We start from the raw sequence: 17694 nt of genomic DNA on the forward strand, positions 1-17694 counted from the left end.
TCCTCAACTTGGTTCATCTTTATGAACCAGCTTCTGTTCTGGCCATCTTTTTCCAACCTACATCATCTTGCATTTCTTTGTGCTCCTGTCACTCTGAGTTCAGTTTTGGTTCCTCAAATCAACTGAAAGAAGGTTTTTCTGCTTTCAAGTGGAAGAAGAAAATGGCAATTTGAAAAATTTGCTCTCCCAAAGAGATTTCAGCCACAAATTCATTTGCATTTAAATCCTAAAATAAAGCACATCATTATTTCAGCATAAACTCTTAAAAGTCATGCAATCCAGCCGGGCATGGTGGCTCACGCCTGTAACCCCAACACTTTGGGAGGCTGAGGCGGGCAGATCACCAGGTCAGGAGTTCGAGACCAACCTGGCCAACATGGTGAAGCCCTGTCTTTACTAAAAATACAAAAATTAGCCTGTTTGGTGGCGCATGCCTGTAGTCCCAGCTACTCTAGAGGCTGAGGCAAGAGAATCACTTGAACCCGGGAGATGGAGGTTGCAGTGAGCCGAGAACATGCCATTGCACTCCAGCCTGGGCAACAGAGTGAGATTCCATCTCAAAAAAAAAAAAAAGAAAAAAAAAGAAGTCATGCAATCCATAACAACCTCAGGCTTTTCACCTTTATATAATTTTAATGAGCCGAAGGTTTGATTATTAAAACAACTATAACTCCTATTACTCTCTCAATCATAACAAATTGATCATAAATTCAATTTAACACACATATGTCAGAATACAAAGCACACAGTATGTTCTTTGAACCAGTAAATAAATGTCTTATTCTTTATCATAATAATTTCTAATTGTATAATGTTTGAAACTTTCACAATCTTTCTATCTTGGTGAACACTGGCAAAGACATTCTGGGAGTTATTCAGGAGAGATTCACTGCAGAAAGTACACAGCCATATATCAGAGAAGGGACACTTTCTAACAGGGATCCTTTTAGAACCTGACTCAAGATTCTTTTGTCTTTGAAATATCTAAGCAGCCAGCCAAACCAGAACAGCCAAACTCCAAAAGCCCAGAGTTTGACTGCACCACTGAGATCACTCAAGTAATCTCTACCCTCCTTTCTCTGCCATAAAAGCCCCACCCTGGGTTTCCCCTCACTTTGGTTCTTTCTCAAGTTTCTCACCAGCAGAGCTGAAGGAGAAGTGGTCTTTCATCCAGGTGGCTGGGGTAATATAGAGGAATCTGGGTATAAGGTTGCAAAGGCCATCAGGCCCCTTAGCTGCAATTCCCTCTTGTATCCTGCTTCCTCAAACCAGGGCTAGACCAAAGACTTCAAAATATGTGCACGCGCGCACACATACGGGTACCAAGGGTAAATTTGTAATTTGCCCTCTAAGCCCCAGAATTCAAGCTTTCTCATTCTTTCATGGGGACCATGTGAGAATTCTCCAAGATATTTGTGGGGGCCTTACCCACAAATATATAAATAGATAGATAATGGCTTTTACCTCCTTCATCTGTCCATAGCTATAAATGCCCACAGGCTTTGTTGGAGAGTTCTCCAGGCTGAAGGACAGTTTTCCTGAATGTGACACTAGCCGAGAGGTCAGAATTAATTACATTCCTTGGTGTCACCTGACCCACAGGAAACTTGCGTATCTTTGCCACCCCAAATTGTGAGACTACAGACTGAACTACTGCAAGTCTAATCGCCTCCCCTCCCCACCCCACCTTCCCTTTTATTTTCCTGATAAAGTAGGCAGAAAGCAGATGAACAAGTTTGCTGCCTAAATTAACACCCAATCTGGAAATAAAATACAAGTCTTTCCTTCCTGAAGGCATCTTCAATCACTACCAGTGATTCCTTTGGCAGAAAGCACAATTTTGGGAGCTAGTTCTACGACTTCTTAATCATCCTTCAAGTTAGGTCTGGGTGTGTGCATGGAGGCAGTGGGTGGTGGGGTTTTCTGATTCTAGTCATTGTCAGATTTCTTTAAAAAGTGAAGTACTTAGCGTTCCCTTGACCCATCTTTGACTCCTCCCTAGTTGCTGTTCTTTGAGTAATAGGAAAAGCCCAACACAACCTCCTGTTATACATAAATACAATTTTTTAAAACCAGCACATATATACATGATAGATGGAAATAAACAGTACTGCATACAGTAGTTGTAAGTATACACAAATAAAGATACCTTTGCATTGTATTCATATACCACGTTTATAGACATGTGAACTTGCTGCAAAACAAGCAGAAAATAGGAAGAGAAAATCAGGTTATCTACAGAATCACTAGTCATCAAATTCACGTTAAGAATAGGCAGTAAGATTTCATGATCTCAATAAAAATCTCAATAAAGCTGTTGCCCTAAAAAAATTTACAGTGAGACAATAAAACAGGGAGGTAAGGGAGGAAAGACAAATATTCCTATGTCTTAAAAAAAAGGTAAAGCAAGTTAGCCTCCTGGCACTGAATCATTTGCAGAAAAAAATAAAAATAGTTGTTCAAGTATATGAGAAGGCTTTGTACCAATCTCAGACATCCAATACTTTATATTTCTTAGAGAGAAAGTGAAGGCTTTGTACCAATCTCAAACATCTAATACTTTATATTTCTTAGAGAGAAAGTAAGGGAATTTAGTTCTCTTTTAATATGTACTCTTAATTCCCTCTTAATTTCTTCCAGACTACTTTAAGTTTTTATAGAAATAAATATAAAATCACCACATTGCCTTTTGAAATTAAAAATGGGAAACACAATACTTTATTCAATCAATAAAACAAACTGTAAAACATTTTAAAATCCCTTAGTTCTAGAATATGGTCAGATAAGAAAGAGGGCATATAATTTGTCAGTGGGAGAAATTAAACCACTGTCTTCTAAATCTATCCACCATGATAAGGTTTTTTGTTTTTGAAAAGCTGTAAGATTAAAACAAACACACAATAAAACATAATCCAATTAAGGTTTCAGGACTAAATATGAACCTTTCCTCTACTTTCAAAGGTTTGGAGGATCCTTGAAACTTCCATTACCAAAAGGTTAAATTATTAGTAACATTCTGAATCACTAAATAGCCTTCCTTTCCTTAACTTTGAATATCACATTTATTTGAAACGAAGCACTTACTGTAAATTGCTACCCTGTCTAGGAAAAGATATTTTCTTCATGGATTCTGTCATGTTTTGATGCTAAAGAACCTGTTTTATCGGACTAATTTGCTTTCGATTATTCTAAATGAGTTCACAGACACAAGAGCAGATATTTGTGGCATTTTTCTGAATCATCTCCAAACAAAATAGAGGTTGTTAAATCTAATTGAGGTGCCAATAATTTCTGACTTTGTCCCAGAGCACCTTAAAGGCAATCAGTTCTAGCAAAATCTAGAAACCACCTAACATAAACTTGTCAGTATGGCCCAATCGCCCATCCTTATGAAATCAGAATTTATCGGCCGGGCGCAGCAGGTCACGCCTGTAATCCCAGCACTTTGAGAGGCCGAGGTGGGAGGGTCATCTGATGTCAGGAGTTCAAGATGAGCCTGGCCAACATGGTGAAACCCCATCTCTACTATAAATACAAAAATTAGCCAGGCATGGTGGTGGGTGCCTGTAATCTCAGTTACTCGGAAGACTGAGGCAAGAGAATCACTTGAACCCAGGAGGTACAGGTTGCAGTGAGCAGAGATTGCACCAATGCACTCCAGCCTGGGCAACAGAGCAAGACCCTGCCTCAAAAATAAATAAGTAAATAAATTTATCAATATGAATCCAAGGCCATAACACCATTACAAAATAAGTGTTCCCTTCCATCTTTGTCTAAACATGCACCTACAAAACAAACAACATCAACTTCCAACCTAACCACTCTGGATCAGTTTAACAAACTTCATACCCTACTGACCTGTCCCCTGCATTTGAATTCTAAGCCTACCCCTTTGAATTCACTTCCTTTCACTGACCTTGTCTATTTCAAAGAAACCATCTCCCATCCTGAAGTTGTCCTACAATCTTAACATGCTAATGAAATACAAGAAGAAGACACAAAATATAAGATCAAATGTTTTAATATTAGAATCAACAGATTTAAAATTATATTTTAATAAATACGACAAATATGAGGAAAAATAGAATTATAAAAACTGTACACATTCTTAATTGAAAATATACATATAGGCAATTTATATAGAAAATTGCTGTTTCACTCATAACTTCTCATACTTCCATAACTGTAACTAGACAGAAAGTTTAAAGTGAAATAGCAAATTCCTCACACTCAATGCTTATATGCATACTTTGAACCAATACCTTACATATCAATATTTAAAGCTTTTAATGTGATAAGTGAGCTTGCTTCTTGCTTGTTAATTTGTCTAATCTAGGTTGGATTGATGACAATGCTACCCTCAGGGGATAATGTATATTTAAACTGTTTCTATGTTTTGTTTTAATAACACTTAAAGTAGAGAATCCGGTCTCACAGAGGTATGTTGAGGGGAAAAGAAGCAGCAATTTTAAAGCAATCTCAGCAAGCTCAGGATAGTCATTTTTAGCTTTTATCCAAAATGAAGGAAGTGATGCTGTATTTTCAAAACTGATTTTCAATCCTTCGTCGGTAGCCAGCTTCAACAACTTATCCTGTAGAGTTACAGTTAAATTTAAGTTATCTTTTGATGAAAGAAATGGATTTTGGATCCACAAATTTCCTATGCGTGGATCTTCTTTTGATGGAAAATAAAATTCAAAACATTCTAACAAATTTGTAAGATGTTCACTGATAACTTTTCGCAGATGTGCAATATCAAGATCATTACCTACTTCATTGATAATTGTTGTTAAATTATGAAACATGTCATAACAATCTGTAGAAATTCTGTTTTTCCAAGCTTCTAACTTCTGTTTTTGTCCTTCAACTTTATCTGCCATTGAAAAATAAGTTGCATTCTTCCCTTGCATAGAAGCATTAAGATCATTAAAAATACTGAAGATATCAGACAAATAAGCAAGTCTGGCTGTCCAATTCACATCTTTAAAAAGTTGGGACCACATGGGTTTCTTGCCTTGCAGAAACACTAAGAGTTCATTTCGTATTTCAAACATTCTTGACAGAACTTTTCCCCGTGATAACCACCGTATCTCAGCATGCAGTAACAGTTGCTTATGATCAGCTTCCATATTATCACATAATAAAGAGAATAATCTTGAATTCAATGAATTAGATTTTATATAATTCACAATTTTTACTATATCATTAAGTACACTATTTAGTTCAGCTGATATTTTTTTCATGGCAAGACTTTCTCGATGAATGAAGCAATGTGTTGTTTTACATTCTGGCGCAAGTTCCTTAATCTGGGTTACCACTTCAGAATGTTTTCCTGTCATTGAAGCTGCACCATCAGAACATACTCCTACACAAAATTTAAATTCCAAACCACATTTGTTAACAATATAATTCTTTACAGCTTCATACAGTTCTGAGCTAGTTGTGTTTGTAGGCAAAGAGGCTGAAAAAAAGAACTCTTCCTTTATATCATCATCATGTTCAAACCTCACATAGACTAAAAGAATTATCATGTTAGCAATATCTCTGCATTCATCAAGTTGCAATGAAAAATACTTTGCTAGTTTTATTTGTTCTATGAGTTGATCTTCCATATCATTAGCCAGTTCCTGAATACGTCGAGCTATGGTGTCATTGGAAAGTGGTACCTGAGCTACCTTCTTTGCTGCAGATTCACCCAACATTTCCAAGCAAACTTCTTTGATGCAGTCTTTCACTAGTGTCTCAGCAATTGTGTATGGTGTTTTAGACTTGGCAACCGGAAGTGCTACTTTATATGAAGCCCGCAAAGCACTAATGTTTATATGAGAAACGTTGAACACCTGCTTTGGTTGGCTTTTCAATTCACTACTCTTTCTTTCAAAGAATTCTTTTGGTTGTGAACTTATTTCTTTATGTTTTGAATATAAATGTCGCTTAAGTTTTGATGGTTTCATTGCTTCATTAGCCAGTACATCTCCACAAATAATACACTGTGGTTTTAGTACTTCACCATCAATTACAGCTACAAAACCAAACTCAATATATGAAGGATCATATTTCCGAGTGAAACTAGCATGAACTCTTTTGGTTTTCCCTTCTTCAGGATAACTTCTATTGTTAACATTTCTTTTATTACTACTACTGTGTTCAGAAAAGGCATGTCTTTTCTTGACAAAAAAGTCCAGTGAAGCTTGTTTCGCCATCTGAAATTAGGAATAAAAGTAAATAATATGAATTTTACTTTCCTCCTTCAGCTAACAGTGTTATACCACAAGTTAAAAACTAGATTTGATTAAAATAAAAAATTATTTTAAAGTTAAGTTATAAAAATAAATAAATGCCTATATTTTCTCAGAGTTTTATACATCTTTGGGTTATGGCTGATAAACGAAACATAAAGTATCACAGGTTGTAATGGGGACCTATTGTGTTTGACTAGTGTGTAACTGCCACCACATGTGACTCACCTTGAGAGTTTAACAATACCTAAATTGGTCTATATTCTATTCAGTAAGATGAGTCCATTAATCATGTGCTTGGATGTTGCAGTAATGTCAATTGTTATAAAGGTTTCTAAATATTTACGCTTAATTTTTATATTTATTTCCTTATGGACTGGAGTTTTTATACCAGTACTGCTCTACTGATCACATGTTGCGTACCACTAGTTTAAGTCATAAGTAACCTCCATATTTCAAAACATTAACCCTACTTCATAAAGCCTATTGATTTTAAATTTTTTTGGTTCTATTTCATGCTCTCCATTTAAATTCCCAAACTGAAGTCTTTCCCAACACAAACCCATATCTTCCAAGCAAATTTATCATCCCCTACCCCTACAAATACTTCTTCACTTGATTTGAGAAGAAGCATTAAAAGTAATTAGGCCTTCTTTGGGGGAAATATATCCAAGGTAATAAAAATGTGCTTTCATATACCTTGTCACACAACACTTATTCACAGTACACTGTAATGAGATTCTTCCCCTGCTTTCATCTACGGCAGATATTCAATCTTACCCAGTCTCCTACTTTGTCTGGTGAAAATGGTGTCCCTGATGGCTTTAGCATTTTGGAAGGTTTAACAGGCAAACTTCTTTGAATCTCATCATGTTTCCTCTTCATTGTGCTGGTTTCATAGCAAAGGCTACAAGTTATTTGCCGACCACAGCCCTCAGTCCCATGTTGAGAGGGCACTCCACAAATTGCATGGATATTTCCATCACATGATATACAACTATTAACACCTGTGCATTCTTTTTCACAAACTACACAGGATAAAAATCTTAGTCTGCTCTCAGGAGGGCTTTTTTCAGCCACCTTAGGAGTGACAGAAAGATTCTCTTCAATATCACTACTGTCTGTTCCAGTCTCAATGTTTTCTTCATACTGGGCTCTTAAAGTATTTTCTAACTCTTTGTCAGCCTGATCTAATTCATTTTCTGTATGCAAGCTGGCAACAAGTTCTTCAGTTAGCTGAGAATGGGACAAGCCCAGTTTAGCTTCAGAGCTAAATGCACTTTCACATGGAGTCTGTTGCATGCTTCTGTGATAGGGCTGATTTTGGGACATCTGAATGAACCACAAAAATTCAGTCCAGTGTGATGAGTTGTTAGTTTGCATCCAGGAGAAAATCCTCTTTCGGATATCCTCAGTTTGTTCTGCAGAACTCTGGCTTTGGCAGGTCTGAGACTTCCCATGGACAATTTTCAATTCTGGCCAAATATTACTGAGTTCACTGACAACCTGGCTTGAAAATTCCCTCCCATTGTCAGATTGTAGGACACTGGGTGCTCCAATAATTGTAAATATATCTAAAAGAGCATGTGCAACTTCCGTAGGCCTTTTAGACTTTAATGACCGCAAAAAAGTTAACTTTGTACAGAGATCTTGATAATGCAAAATAAATCTGTACTCCCCATCAGGATTCAACTGCATGTCTATAAGATCTACTTGGCATCTTGAACTAACTTCCTTAATTGATTTTGATGTTAGAACCTTCTTGAGTTTTGAATTTTTCTGTTGGCATGGTTTACAGAGGGTCAGATACAGCATTATAACTTCTTTTGTGATGTTCTTGTATTTCGCTTGTAACTCTTTCTCCATGCGAGTACGTCCACCATGTCCAATGCTGAGATGTGTATTATGCAGAATGTCAAATAAGTCCTCACTGTGTAAGTAATACCGTATTTTATCTGTTTCCCCATTTACAGCCTCAATTAGCTTCTCATTTCCTTGTACAAGGATAACATCAAATCTAGCCAAGCGACGGTAGTCAACTGATTCCTTTTTCGCCTTAGCTTTAGCTTCTTTCACTTCCTTTATCAACTGACAGTACTTTGCTTTAGAAAATATCTTAGTATTATTACTTTTGTTTTCCAGTAACCTTGCTAAGCTTCTGAAGAACTTTTCTCTCATGTTTTCTGGTTCAATTTCTGCTTCATTAGTATCTAAGCTACTGAGGTTATCACCACCCATGCTTTGAGACATCATGGAAAACCACAAAAATGACCCTAAAAACAAAGGAAAAAAATCAATTAGAATATTCAGGAATATAATTTAAAAGACATATATTGCCAAAGGAGCCAGTAGTGCTTGAGGTAGAAGTAGGGAATATGGACACACAAAAGGGGATACCATTTTCTTTCTTTTTTGAGACAGAGTCTCACTCTGTTGCCCAGGCTAGAGTGCAGTGGCACAATCTCAGCTCACTGCAACTTCTGCCTCCTAGATTCAAGCAATTCTCCTATCTCAGCCTCCCGAGTAGCTGGGACTACAGGTGCGCACCATGACACTTGACTAATGTTTTTATTTTTAGTAGAGATGGGGTTTCACCATGTTGGCCAGACTGGTCTTGAACTCCTGGTCTCAAGCAATCTGCCTGCCAGCCTCAGCCTCCCAAAGTGCTAGGATTACAGGCGTGAGTTACTGCACCAGGCCAGGGGGATACCATTTTGATTAAGGAATCCAACTTTGGTGGAATGAAGAGCGTAAATGAAACTCCAGCCAATAACAAAAAGTTTCAAACAATAAAGAGCAGAAAGCCAGGACATGAATTTCCAGAGCAGTTTTCAGGATTGAAGCACTGTTTTATGTAAAATAGGATGCAAATTAACATTTACTTGTTTGTTTACTATGCAAAGACTTTTTTTTTTTTTTTGTATTTTTAGTAGAGACGGGGTTTCACTGTGTTAGCCAGGATGGTCTCGATCTCCTGACCTCATGATCCACCTGCCTTGGCCTCCTAAAATGCTGGGATTACAGGCGTGAGCCACCACACCCGGTCTCAGACTTTTTTTTTTGGAGGAACCTCAGCAAGACAATAATAGATTTTTAAAAAAATCTCCACACTACACATTTTCTCTTTTATTCAGTCAGGTTAGCTATTACATCAACATTTGAGGAGTAAGTTCCAACCTAATATATTCATATCAGCTCCCTTTTAGGGCTATTAACTACAAACTCAATACAAATAGCTTCATTACTAATTTTAATAAGAGTACTGGATGAGTCAAAATCAGTGAAAAATTTCTGACTTAATAAAGCTTATTAAAAGAAATTTCTAGAATACTCATAATAACAGAAACACTAAGAATACTTCAAATTTGGCTAAGTGTTAAGGAAAAAAACTATTTTGGAAAAAGTAAAAAATAATAATTTGGAATTAGCATAACATCTCTAGATAGTTTTATAGTTGCTTGGAAAAATACTTTCACTCAAGTCAACATCATTTATACTATCAATTTGCATACCAAATAGTGAGACAGAGCAGGGACCCCTCTTAGGGGCCTGTCAGCCACCCCTAACCCCAAGCATGGTAATAACAGAAAATCTTGAGTTCCTTCAAGGGAAATTCCAGGCATCTAACTATCTTTAAGAAGTAAATGAGCAACTTGATAAACAAGAAGGTAATACCTTAAAACAACATCCAAAAAAGTTAGTCATGAGATGTTCCCTATATTAACTAAAGATAGCATCTTAACATATATCCCTAAGTTGTTTTTCAGAAACCCATACCTCCACCAAATGGATCCACTGGTCTGAAGACCTCAGATAATGGGGAACTGAGGACTGAACTCCAACCGCTGCTTTGTTCTAAAGTTCTTCCTGTGGGGCCTGGAAGAAGTCACACCCGCAAGCCAGAGCTAACCTTTTTTTCTGCTGATCCCAAATTTTCAGACAAAGCTTTGCCTCCTTAACCAATTGCAAATCAAAAAATCTTTGAATCTACCTATGACCTGTAAGCCCCTTCTCTGAGATGTCCATCCTACCTTTTTAGGTCAAAATAATGTACAGTGTCCACGTATTGATTTATGACTTTGCTTGTAACCTCTGACTCCCTTCTTTTAAAAAAACTTTACTTGCAAACCATTGGGGAAACTGGGTCTTAATTTTGAGGGGACCAATTCTCCTTGCTTGACACTCTGCAAATAAATGCCCTCTTTTCTCCTGTTGATGTGGATGTTTGGCTTTCCTGTGCCAGGCAAGTGAACCCGTTTGGTTCTGTAGCAGTAATGAACTACTAAATTTAAATCATCTAAAATGTTTATATTTTCTAAAACTAGGTTAAAATTAATGATATGTTACTGTGTGGTTTGGCCTCATTTAACTCTCAATTGTTCCAGTAAGGCTTCTTTGATCATTAAATTTAAACTCACAGTGAGTTTTCCTTTCCTGAAAATCATTATCTATTTATAACACAAGTTAGCACTATCGCAGTTTTTTCTTTAACTGTTTTATAGGTAGATGCAACAAGACTGTAAGTTTCTAAAGAAACAGAGATCACTTATTTCTCTAGTATCTTTCACATTATCTAACACGTTACTACATCTAGTGTTCAATAGAAAATTGTTAACTTTATAATAAAATAACAATAATGGTAAGTGCTATCTCAAAATGTGACTGAAAAAGACCATCCTATGGATAGCATTTCTTTCCATACTGATCCATTTTGTGCCATGCTATAGAACTAGAAGCAGAGAAGGAAAATAAATAAGAATGAATTAGAAGAAGAAATACAGGGCAATGTCAAGAGAACCAGGAAAATATGAGCCCCAGAAGTTTGTAGAATCAATATTAATGTCTAAGAAAATTGTTAGGGCTATAAGAGGAGAAAAACATTGTATCCATTTTACCTAATCCTTTTTAAATGGAAAAGATAGCTGTTCCAGAACCAGGCCAGACTCCACCTCTACTATACATTATACCAATAACAGACCTTAGAACACTAATAAACATAGACTTCAGAAATTCCATATTCTAAGGTAGAATTTCCAAATAGTATTTCCAATGTATACACAGTCATTATGTGACAAAAATTGTGGTCAGAGGCTACAGCAATGGGACCCATGACTACACTGACAAGTGCTCAGTATTTACATACAGAGGTATCTGATTTATCCACAGGTACTTACTAACTTCATTACAAAGTATCCATGAAAAATCTTGTGTTCAAGTATTTTTGACATTATTATCTGACTGTTTTAATTCAACTCCCTTAATAACATTACACTATACTGATTGGCTTTTCCTTCAACTATTAATACATTCAGTAGAAGCTGAAATGGAATGAGGTTTGATAACTTTCAATACTAGACCCTTCATTCTCCCAAGTCTCACCTTCTTTCTTAGAACTAAATTATTCTCACCATTATCTTGAAGTGGGTGTGGCTCTGGAGATTCACATTCCATTCTATCTTCCATAGACTGAAGCTGGGTGCCTAAAGACTCCTTTGCAGAATCCAGAGGGATCATTTCTTCCATAGAAACTTCCTGCCCATATGTGCCCTGTGAGACCTGTGGACAAGTAGGTGCATTTGGTAAACAATACAAATAATTGTAGTTTGTCATAGCTAAACTTGTATTCTTCCACTAAAATAGAATGTAAGAAGAAAATCAGTCTTTACTGAATTCTTAAGTACAAGATAAAACATGAAGAGAAATGAAAAATGCTGGGACTAATAAAGCCAGAGCCATACAACAGAAACTGATGTCTCTATAGGACAGGAGTTAAAACGCATCCCTTTGGTTTCTGTTTCTGGGAATAACAATGAAAGCACGTTAAAGAAATATCTCCTAAACCGTGATGACTGAAAAAAATTGTAAATGAGTTCCAGTGTGGTTAATTAAAAGTAAATATTGGGCTGGGTGCAGTGGCTCATGCCTGTAATCCCAGCACTTTGGGAGGTCGAGGCAGGTGGATCACCTGAGGTCAGGAGTTCGAGAGCAGCCTGGCCAACATGGAGAAACCCTGTCTCTACTATTAATAATGCAGATTCACCAGGCCTAAGAAAATGTACAAATTGTTAAAGGATTACAGAGTTATTAATGGTTACACTTACGCTACATCGAGTTGGAAAATGTCCATGGATAGTGAATCCCAAAATTGCACATAAACCAGAATATTCTAAAAGGGAATATCCAGTGACATAGGAGGAGATGAAAGCCTACATATTATTAGAATATCATGTTGGGATTTAAGATTCTGTGTCATGCTCCTTTCCTCCAACTTGGATACCACATAATAAATTTATTCTTGCCGGGCATGGTGGCTCATGCCTGTAATCCCAGCATTTTGGGACTAATAAAAGGAGGCCAAGGTGGATGCATCACCTGAGGTAACGAGTTCGGGACCAACTTAGCCAACATGATGAAACCCCATCTCTACTAAAAACACAAAAATTAGCCAGACGAGGTGGTGCACGCCTGTAGTCCCAGCTACTCAGGAGGCTGAGGCAGGAGGATCATTTGAACTCAGGAGGCAGAGGTTGCAGTGAGTTGAGATCATGCCACTGCACGACAGAGCGAGACTCCGTCTCAAAAAAAAAAAAAAAATTCTTAAACTGTGCAAAGCACATTTCAAAAAATCATTTTCTCAAAATTCATAAAATGGTTAAGCCAGTTCCCTTTGGTATGTTTTTCCCTTCTCTGAGCTTAATAAGGTATCTTATGTAAATTGCTTTGTATAATATAATAGCATGCATTTCAATTTGTCTAAATCTTTGCATAACTGCCAGAAACAGAATCTGTGAAAGAGGGCCACCTGCTGTTTATAATTAAACAATGTATCAATTCTGTAATGTTAGTATACACAATCCCAGCTTTTGGAGCAACTAAGAAACAAAATATGGATATGGTTCATTGTGCTGAATTATTCACTGACTCTCCCCCACCCCCCCACCCCCCCAAGCACAAACACAAATCTAGTCTCTTGATTCCTCTACTTTTCCACCAGCTGGACTAGACCAAAATGGGTGGGCCTGGTCTTAGAACCGGGAGGAACTCCACTTCTGCCTCTACCACAGAAGTTTGAAGAGTACCTTGGGTAGTGGTAATAAATTACAAAACTGAAGTTACTTCAAACTGGTCATGACAGTCATTAGTCTTTCAGTATTCAATTCCTGGGTTTGATTTTTTTTAACGCTGGAAAGAAGCTGAGTGCAGTAGCTGACATCTGTAATCTCAGCACTTTGGGAGGCCGAGGTGGGAGGATTGCTTGAGCTCAGGAATTCGAGACCAGCCTGGGCAACATAGTGAAACCTCATCACTGCCCAAAATACAAAAAATTAGCCAGGCATGGTAGCACATATCTGTGGTCCCAGCTACTCAGGAGGCTGAGGAAGGCAGATTGCTTGAGCCTGGGAGGTGGAGGTTGCAGTGAGCCAAGATCGTGCCACTGCCCTCCAGCCTGGGTGACAGAGTGAGATTCCATCTCAAATAAATAAATAAAAATGCTGGAAAGAAACTTTTGGTTGTAATATGGTAGAGTAAATATTGCTGTGTTCATTAGAAATGCACATATTTCCAATAAATTCGAACATCTAACTTACAGTGGCACAAACAAATAGGGGTTTATTTTTGTTACATAACAAGAAGCCTAGAAGAAGGTAGTTGCTGGCACCAACTCATTTATCTAACAGTTTTTCAGGGACCCTAGCTGTCTTCATATTTCTGCTCTGTCACTTTTAACACTAGCATTTGGCCTCATGCTTACCATCACTTAATGGTCAGAAGATGGCCAGATATCATATTAGTGTTCAAGACTGGAAGTGAGAAAAGGTGAAACTAAAGTAATCTCCCCTATCCTATCAGGAAAATAAAAGCTTCCCCAGGAACCTCCTCCCCGAAATATGCTTATTTCTCCCTGGCCAGAATTCTGTTGCATAGTTAACTCTAGAACAAGGAAGCCTGGAAAAGAATTTAATTAGATATATTGCCAGTATGAACAAAACCAACATTTTGTCGGGAGGAAAGAAGGGTAGAATAGACACTGGGTTGGCAGCTAAAAGTGTCTGCCAGTGGTATTTCCCCTGTGGGGGAAATCACACAAAAACAAGAAAAATGAGAAACATTTATACAAACTTGATATTCAACAACACTAAGAGATATTTATAACTCTGACCACATTAAAAAAACTATCAAACATGATCAGCGTATAACCTGAACAATACCCAAGGAACTGACCAAACACCAAGTCCTACCAGAAGCTACATTTTTCAACAAAGCTAGAAGGGGAAATTTTAAAGCAAGCTTATCCACCCTGCAGCCTGCAGGCCACTTGCAGCCCAGGACAGTTCTGAATGTGGCCCAACACAATCTTGTAAACTTTCTTAAAACATTGTAAGATTGTTTTGTGATTTTTTTTAAGCTCATCAGCAATCGTTAGTGTTAGTGTATTTTAGTGTGGCCCAAGACAATTATTCTTCCAATATGGCCCAGGGAAGCCAAAAGATTGGATACCCCTATTCTAAAGTAACAGGCATATCTTAAGGGGGAAAAAAACTACAGTATTTGTTATTTAAAGCAAAGAGAAAAGGGTGTGCTGACTAGACGTGAGAAACTGCTTATATAGGCATTTGTGCTGCAACATAACATATGAATGTATTAAAAAAACATGCTTTCTGCAAAACTGCAGAAAAGTGACAGGATTTATGGGGAAAATACGGTTAAAGGGTGGACTATTTTAACACCTACACAACTTTGTCACTAGAGCATTATTAAAACTATAACAACTCCCGGCTGGCGCACGGTGGCTCACGCCTGTACTCCCAGCACTTTGGGAGGCTGACGCGGGCGGATCATGAGATCAAGAGATCGAGACCATCCTGGCCAACATGGTGAAGCCACGTCTCTACTAAAAATACAAAAATTAGCTGGGCGTGGTGGCGCTTGCCTGTAAATCCCAGCTACTTAGGAGGCTGAGGCAGGAGAATCGCTTGTACCAGGGAGGCAGAGGTTGCAGTGAGCCAAGATCCTGCCACTGCACTCCTGCCTGGGGACAGAGTGAGACTCCGTCTCAAAAAATAAAAATAAAAATAAAATAAAATAAAAAACACTATAAAAACTCTAGTAAAAATATAAGACATTAATAAATCTTACTTTAAGTATAGGATTTTACCTTAGAAAGGTGATGTTATCTTGTTAGAAACAAGTGTGAGGAAAGGGGGGGCAAGGGTGGAAGGATATAATCATCAAAAATTCAAAGGTGGGTCGGGCACGGTGGCTCACGCCTGTATTCCCAACACTTTGGGAGGCCGAGGTGGGCGGATCACGAGGTCAGGAGACTGAGACCATCCTGGTTAACACGGTGAAACCTCGTATCTACTAAAAATTAGCCGGGCGTGGTGGCGGGCGCCTGTAGTCCCAGCTACTCGGGAGGCTGAGGCAGGAGAATGACTGAACCCCGGAGGCAGAGCTTGCAGTGAGCCGAGATCGTGCCACTACACTGCAGCCCAGGGGACAGAGCGAGACTCTGTCTCAAAACAAACAAACAAACAAACAACAACAACAACAATTCAAAGGTGGAAAGATATAATCATCAAAAATCCAAGTGAAGACGCTTGAACATTTGATGTTATATTCTTCCACCCTTGGATATAGTGATACTACAAGAAACATGATGTGGGTTCCCGTTTATCATCTTGTTTTTATTTATTTGACACTGGCTTATAAAAAGATACCCAGTGTTTGCTGTTTTAACACTTTCCTTCTTTCATAAAGAAGCTGTTTATATGGGTCCAATTAGGGCTTTATGTCATGAAGTGAAATCATGCTGCGTTCTGCATTGTAGTCATTATCTTTTATCTACTCCAACTGCTTCTCTATCATACTTGAAGCAGAAGATAACTGAGAAGTGAAAAGCTCTTGGGAGGCAGCTTGTAGCTTGTGGAACTGCATGTTCTTCTTCCTCCACACCTTCCATTTGTGCCTCAGCAACTAACTTGCAGCTCTTCTGTAGAAAGATCCTGTGTGTCAGATTGCAGCAGCTCCGCATTATCCTCACTAGCAACTTCTTCAAATCCAACCCCCTTTGCAAGAGCGATACAGCTTGGGTTGGTTTTGGGGAGATCTTCTGAAGGCTCAAAGGCTTTGGAATCATAAATTAAATCAGGGAGAATTGTATATCACACCCCGTGCAAACAGGCTTTTGTGAAATCATTCCAGGCCTCTACAATAATATCAATAATAAGTTTAATGTTGAATCATTTACAGAATTCAAAAAATGTTAGGGCACTGTCACCCCCTGTATAGGCAACCAATATCTTGAATGTTTGCTTTAAATAATAAGCTTTAAAGATTGCAATCACACCATGATTAAGGGGCTGCAGTAAAGAAGTTGTATTGGGAGGTAAAATGAGAACTGTGATATTTGAGGAAAGCTCAGTGACTACTGGAGGGTGGCTTGGTGTATCACTGAGAATTATAAGAATTTTAAAAGACAATTTTTTTCTCTTGCAATGTTTTATTTTTTTTTAATCTACAAAAAAATCACCCGAAAGATCAGAAAATATCTGCCCTGTCATCTAGTCTCTCTTGCTAGACCTGTAGTAGGCACCAAGGCTAGTCTTTACAATTCATTTTAAAGCTTATAGATTGGCAGAATGATAATCACAGGCTTTAGCTTTAAAATTCCACTGGCATTTGCACCCAGCATCACCATCAGTTGATCCTTTGTAGCCTTAAACCCCACAGTGTGTTTCTAGAGTACTTCCAGTCCTGCTTACTCCATTCTGGATCAATGCATCCAAATTCTCCACATATCCCCTTGAGGGCATCTGCTTCCAATAGAGACTGGTTTCATAAAAAGTAAAAATCTGAGCCAGGGGATGGCCTTCCTTATCAATCTAATTTCTTAATGAGGGGAAAATGTCTTTGCAGCTTCTTCATCTGCACTTACAGCCTCGTCTGCACAGACAGTTTAACACTGTGGAAAGTACAGTAGTTCTTGAAGATACTAAACCAGCCACTACTTCCACTAAATGAAGGCACTTCTGCGGGACTTCCATCTTTTTTTCTTAATGTCTCCATACATTGTGAAGGTATTTTCTTTAACTCTGAGAAAGACTGCATTGGATTGCTTCCTTGTTTGGTATTCAATCCACACACTTAACAAATGCTCCATTTCCTCCATTTCCTTATTCCTTGTTCCAACAGATTTCATAACACTGGCAGTTGTTCCAGCTAGATAATTTTATTTTTCCCATCATTGTCTCTAATTGTACATACATTTACTCCTTTATGCCAGTTGCATGACCAATCTCACAGTTTCTTTTCTTTCAAAACACTGTATAGTTTCAAACTTGTCTTCAATTGTTAAAGCTTTTCTTCTTTTATACTCACTAGCAGAAATTTTATCACAAGCACACTTCTATGGCACTTGCAAAACCCTCTGCTTGCTCCTTTTCTGGAATACAAA

General features: G+C 37.9%; 1 protein-coding gene across 7 annotated transcripts in view; it reads right to left on the reverse strand.

Moving 5' to 3' along the window:
* Positions 1–2910: 2910 nt before the first annotated feature.
* The window catches only part of SCAND3 (SCAN domain containing 3), a 45668-nt gene continuing 30884 nt past the window's right edge, over positions 2911–17694 (reverse strand). For 6 of the 7 annotated variants that reach the window (XM_011514287.3, XM_047418158.1, NM_001329616.2 and 3 more), the window contains 3 exons: positions 11648–11795; positions 7020–8512; positions 2911–6203 (listed from right to left, as the gene is read on the reverse strand). In XM_011514287.3, the coding sequence (XP_011512589.1) occupies positions 4287–6203; positions 7020–8512; positions 11648–11762 (3525 nt within the window). In that variant the 5' untranslated portion in view covers positions 11763–11795 and the 3' untranslated portion in view covers positions 2911–4286. Of the gene's footprint in view, positions 6204–7019; positions 8513–11618; positions 11796–17694 lie in introns of those variants that run through there. The other variant, XM_011514288.3, reaches the window with a different exon arrangement.

Source organism: Homo sapiens, chromosome 6, assembly GCF_000001405.40.
Source record: "Homo sapiens chromosome 6, GRCh38.p14 Primary Assembly".
Taxonomy (NCBI): domain Eukaryota; kingdom Metazoa; phylum Chordata; class Mammalia; order Primates; family Hominidae; genus Homo; species Homo sapiens.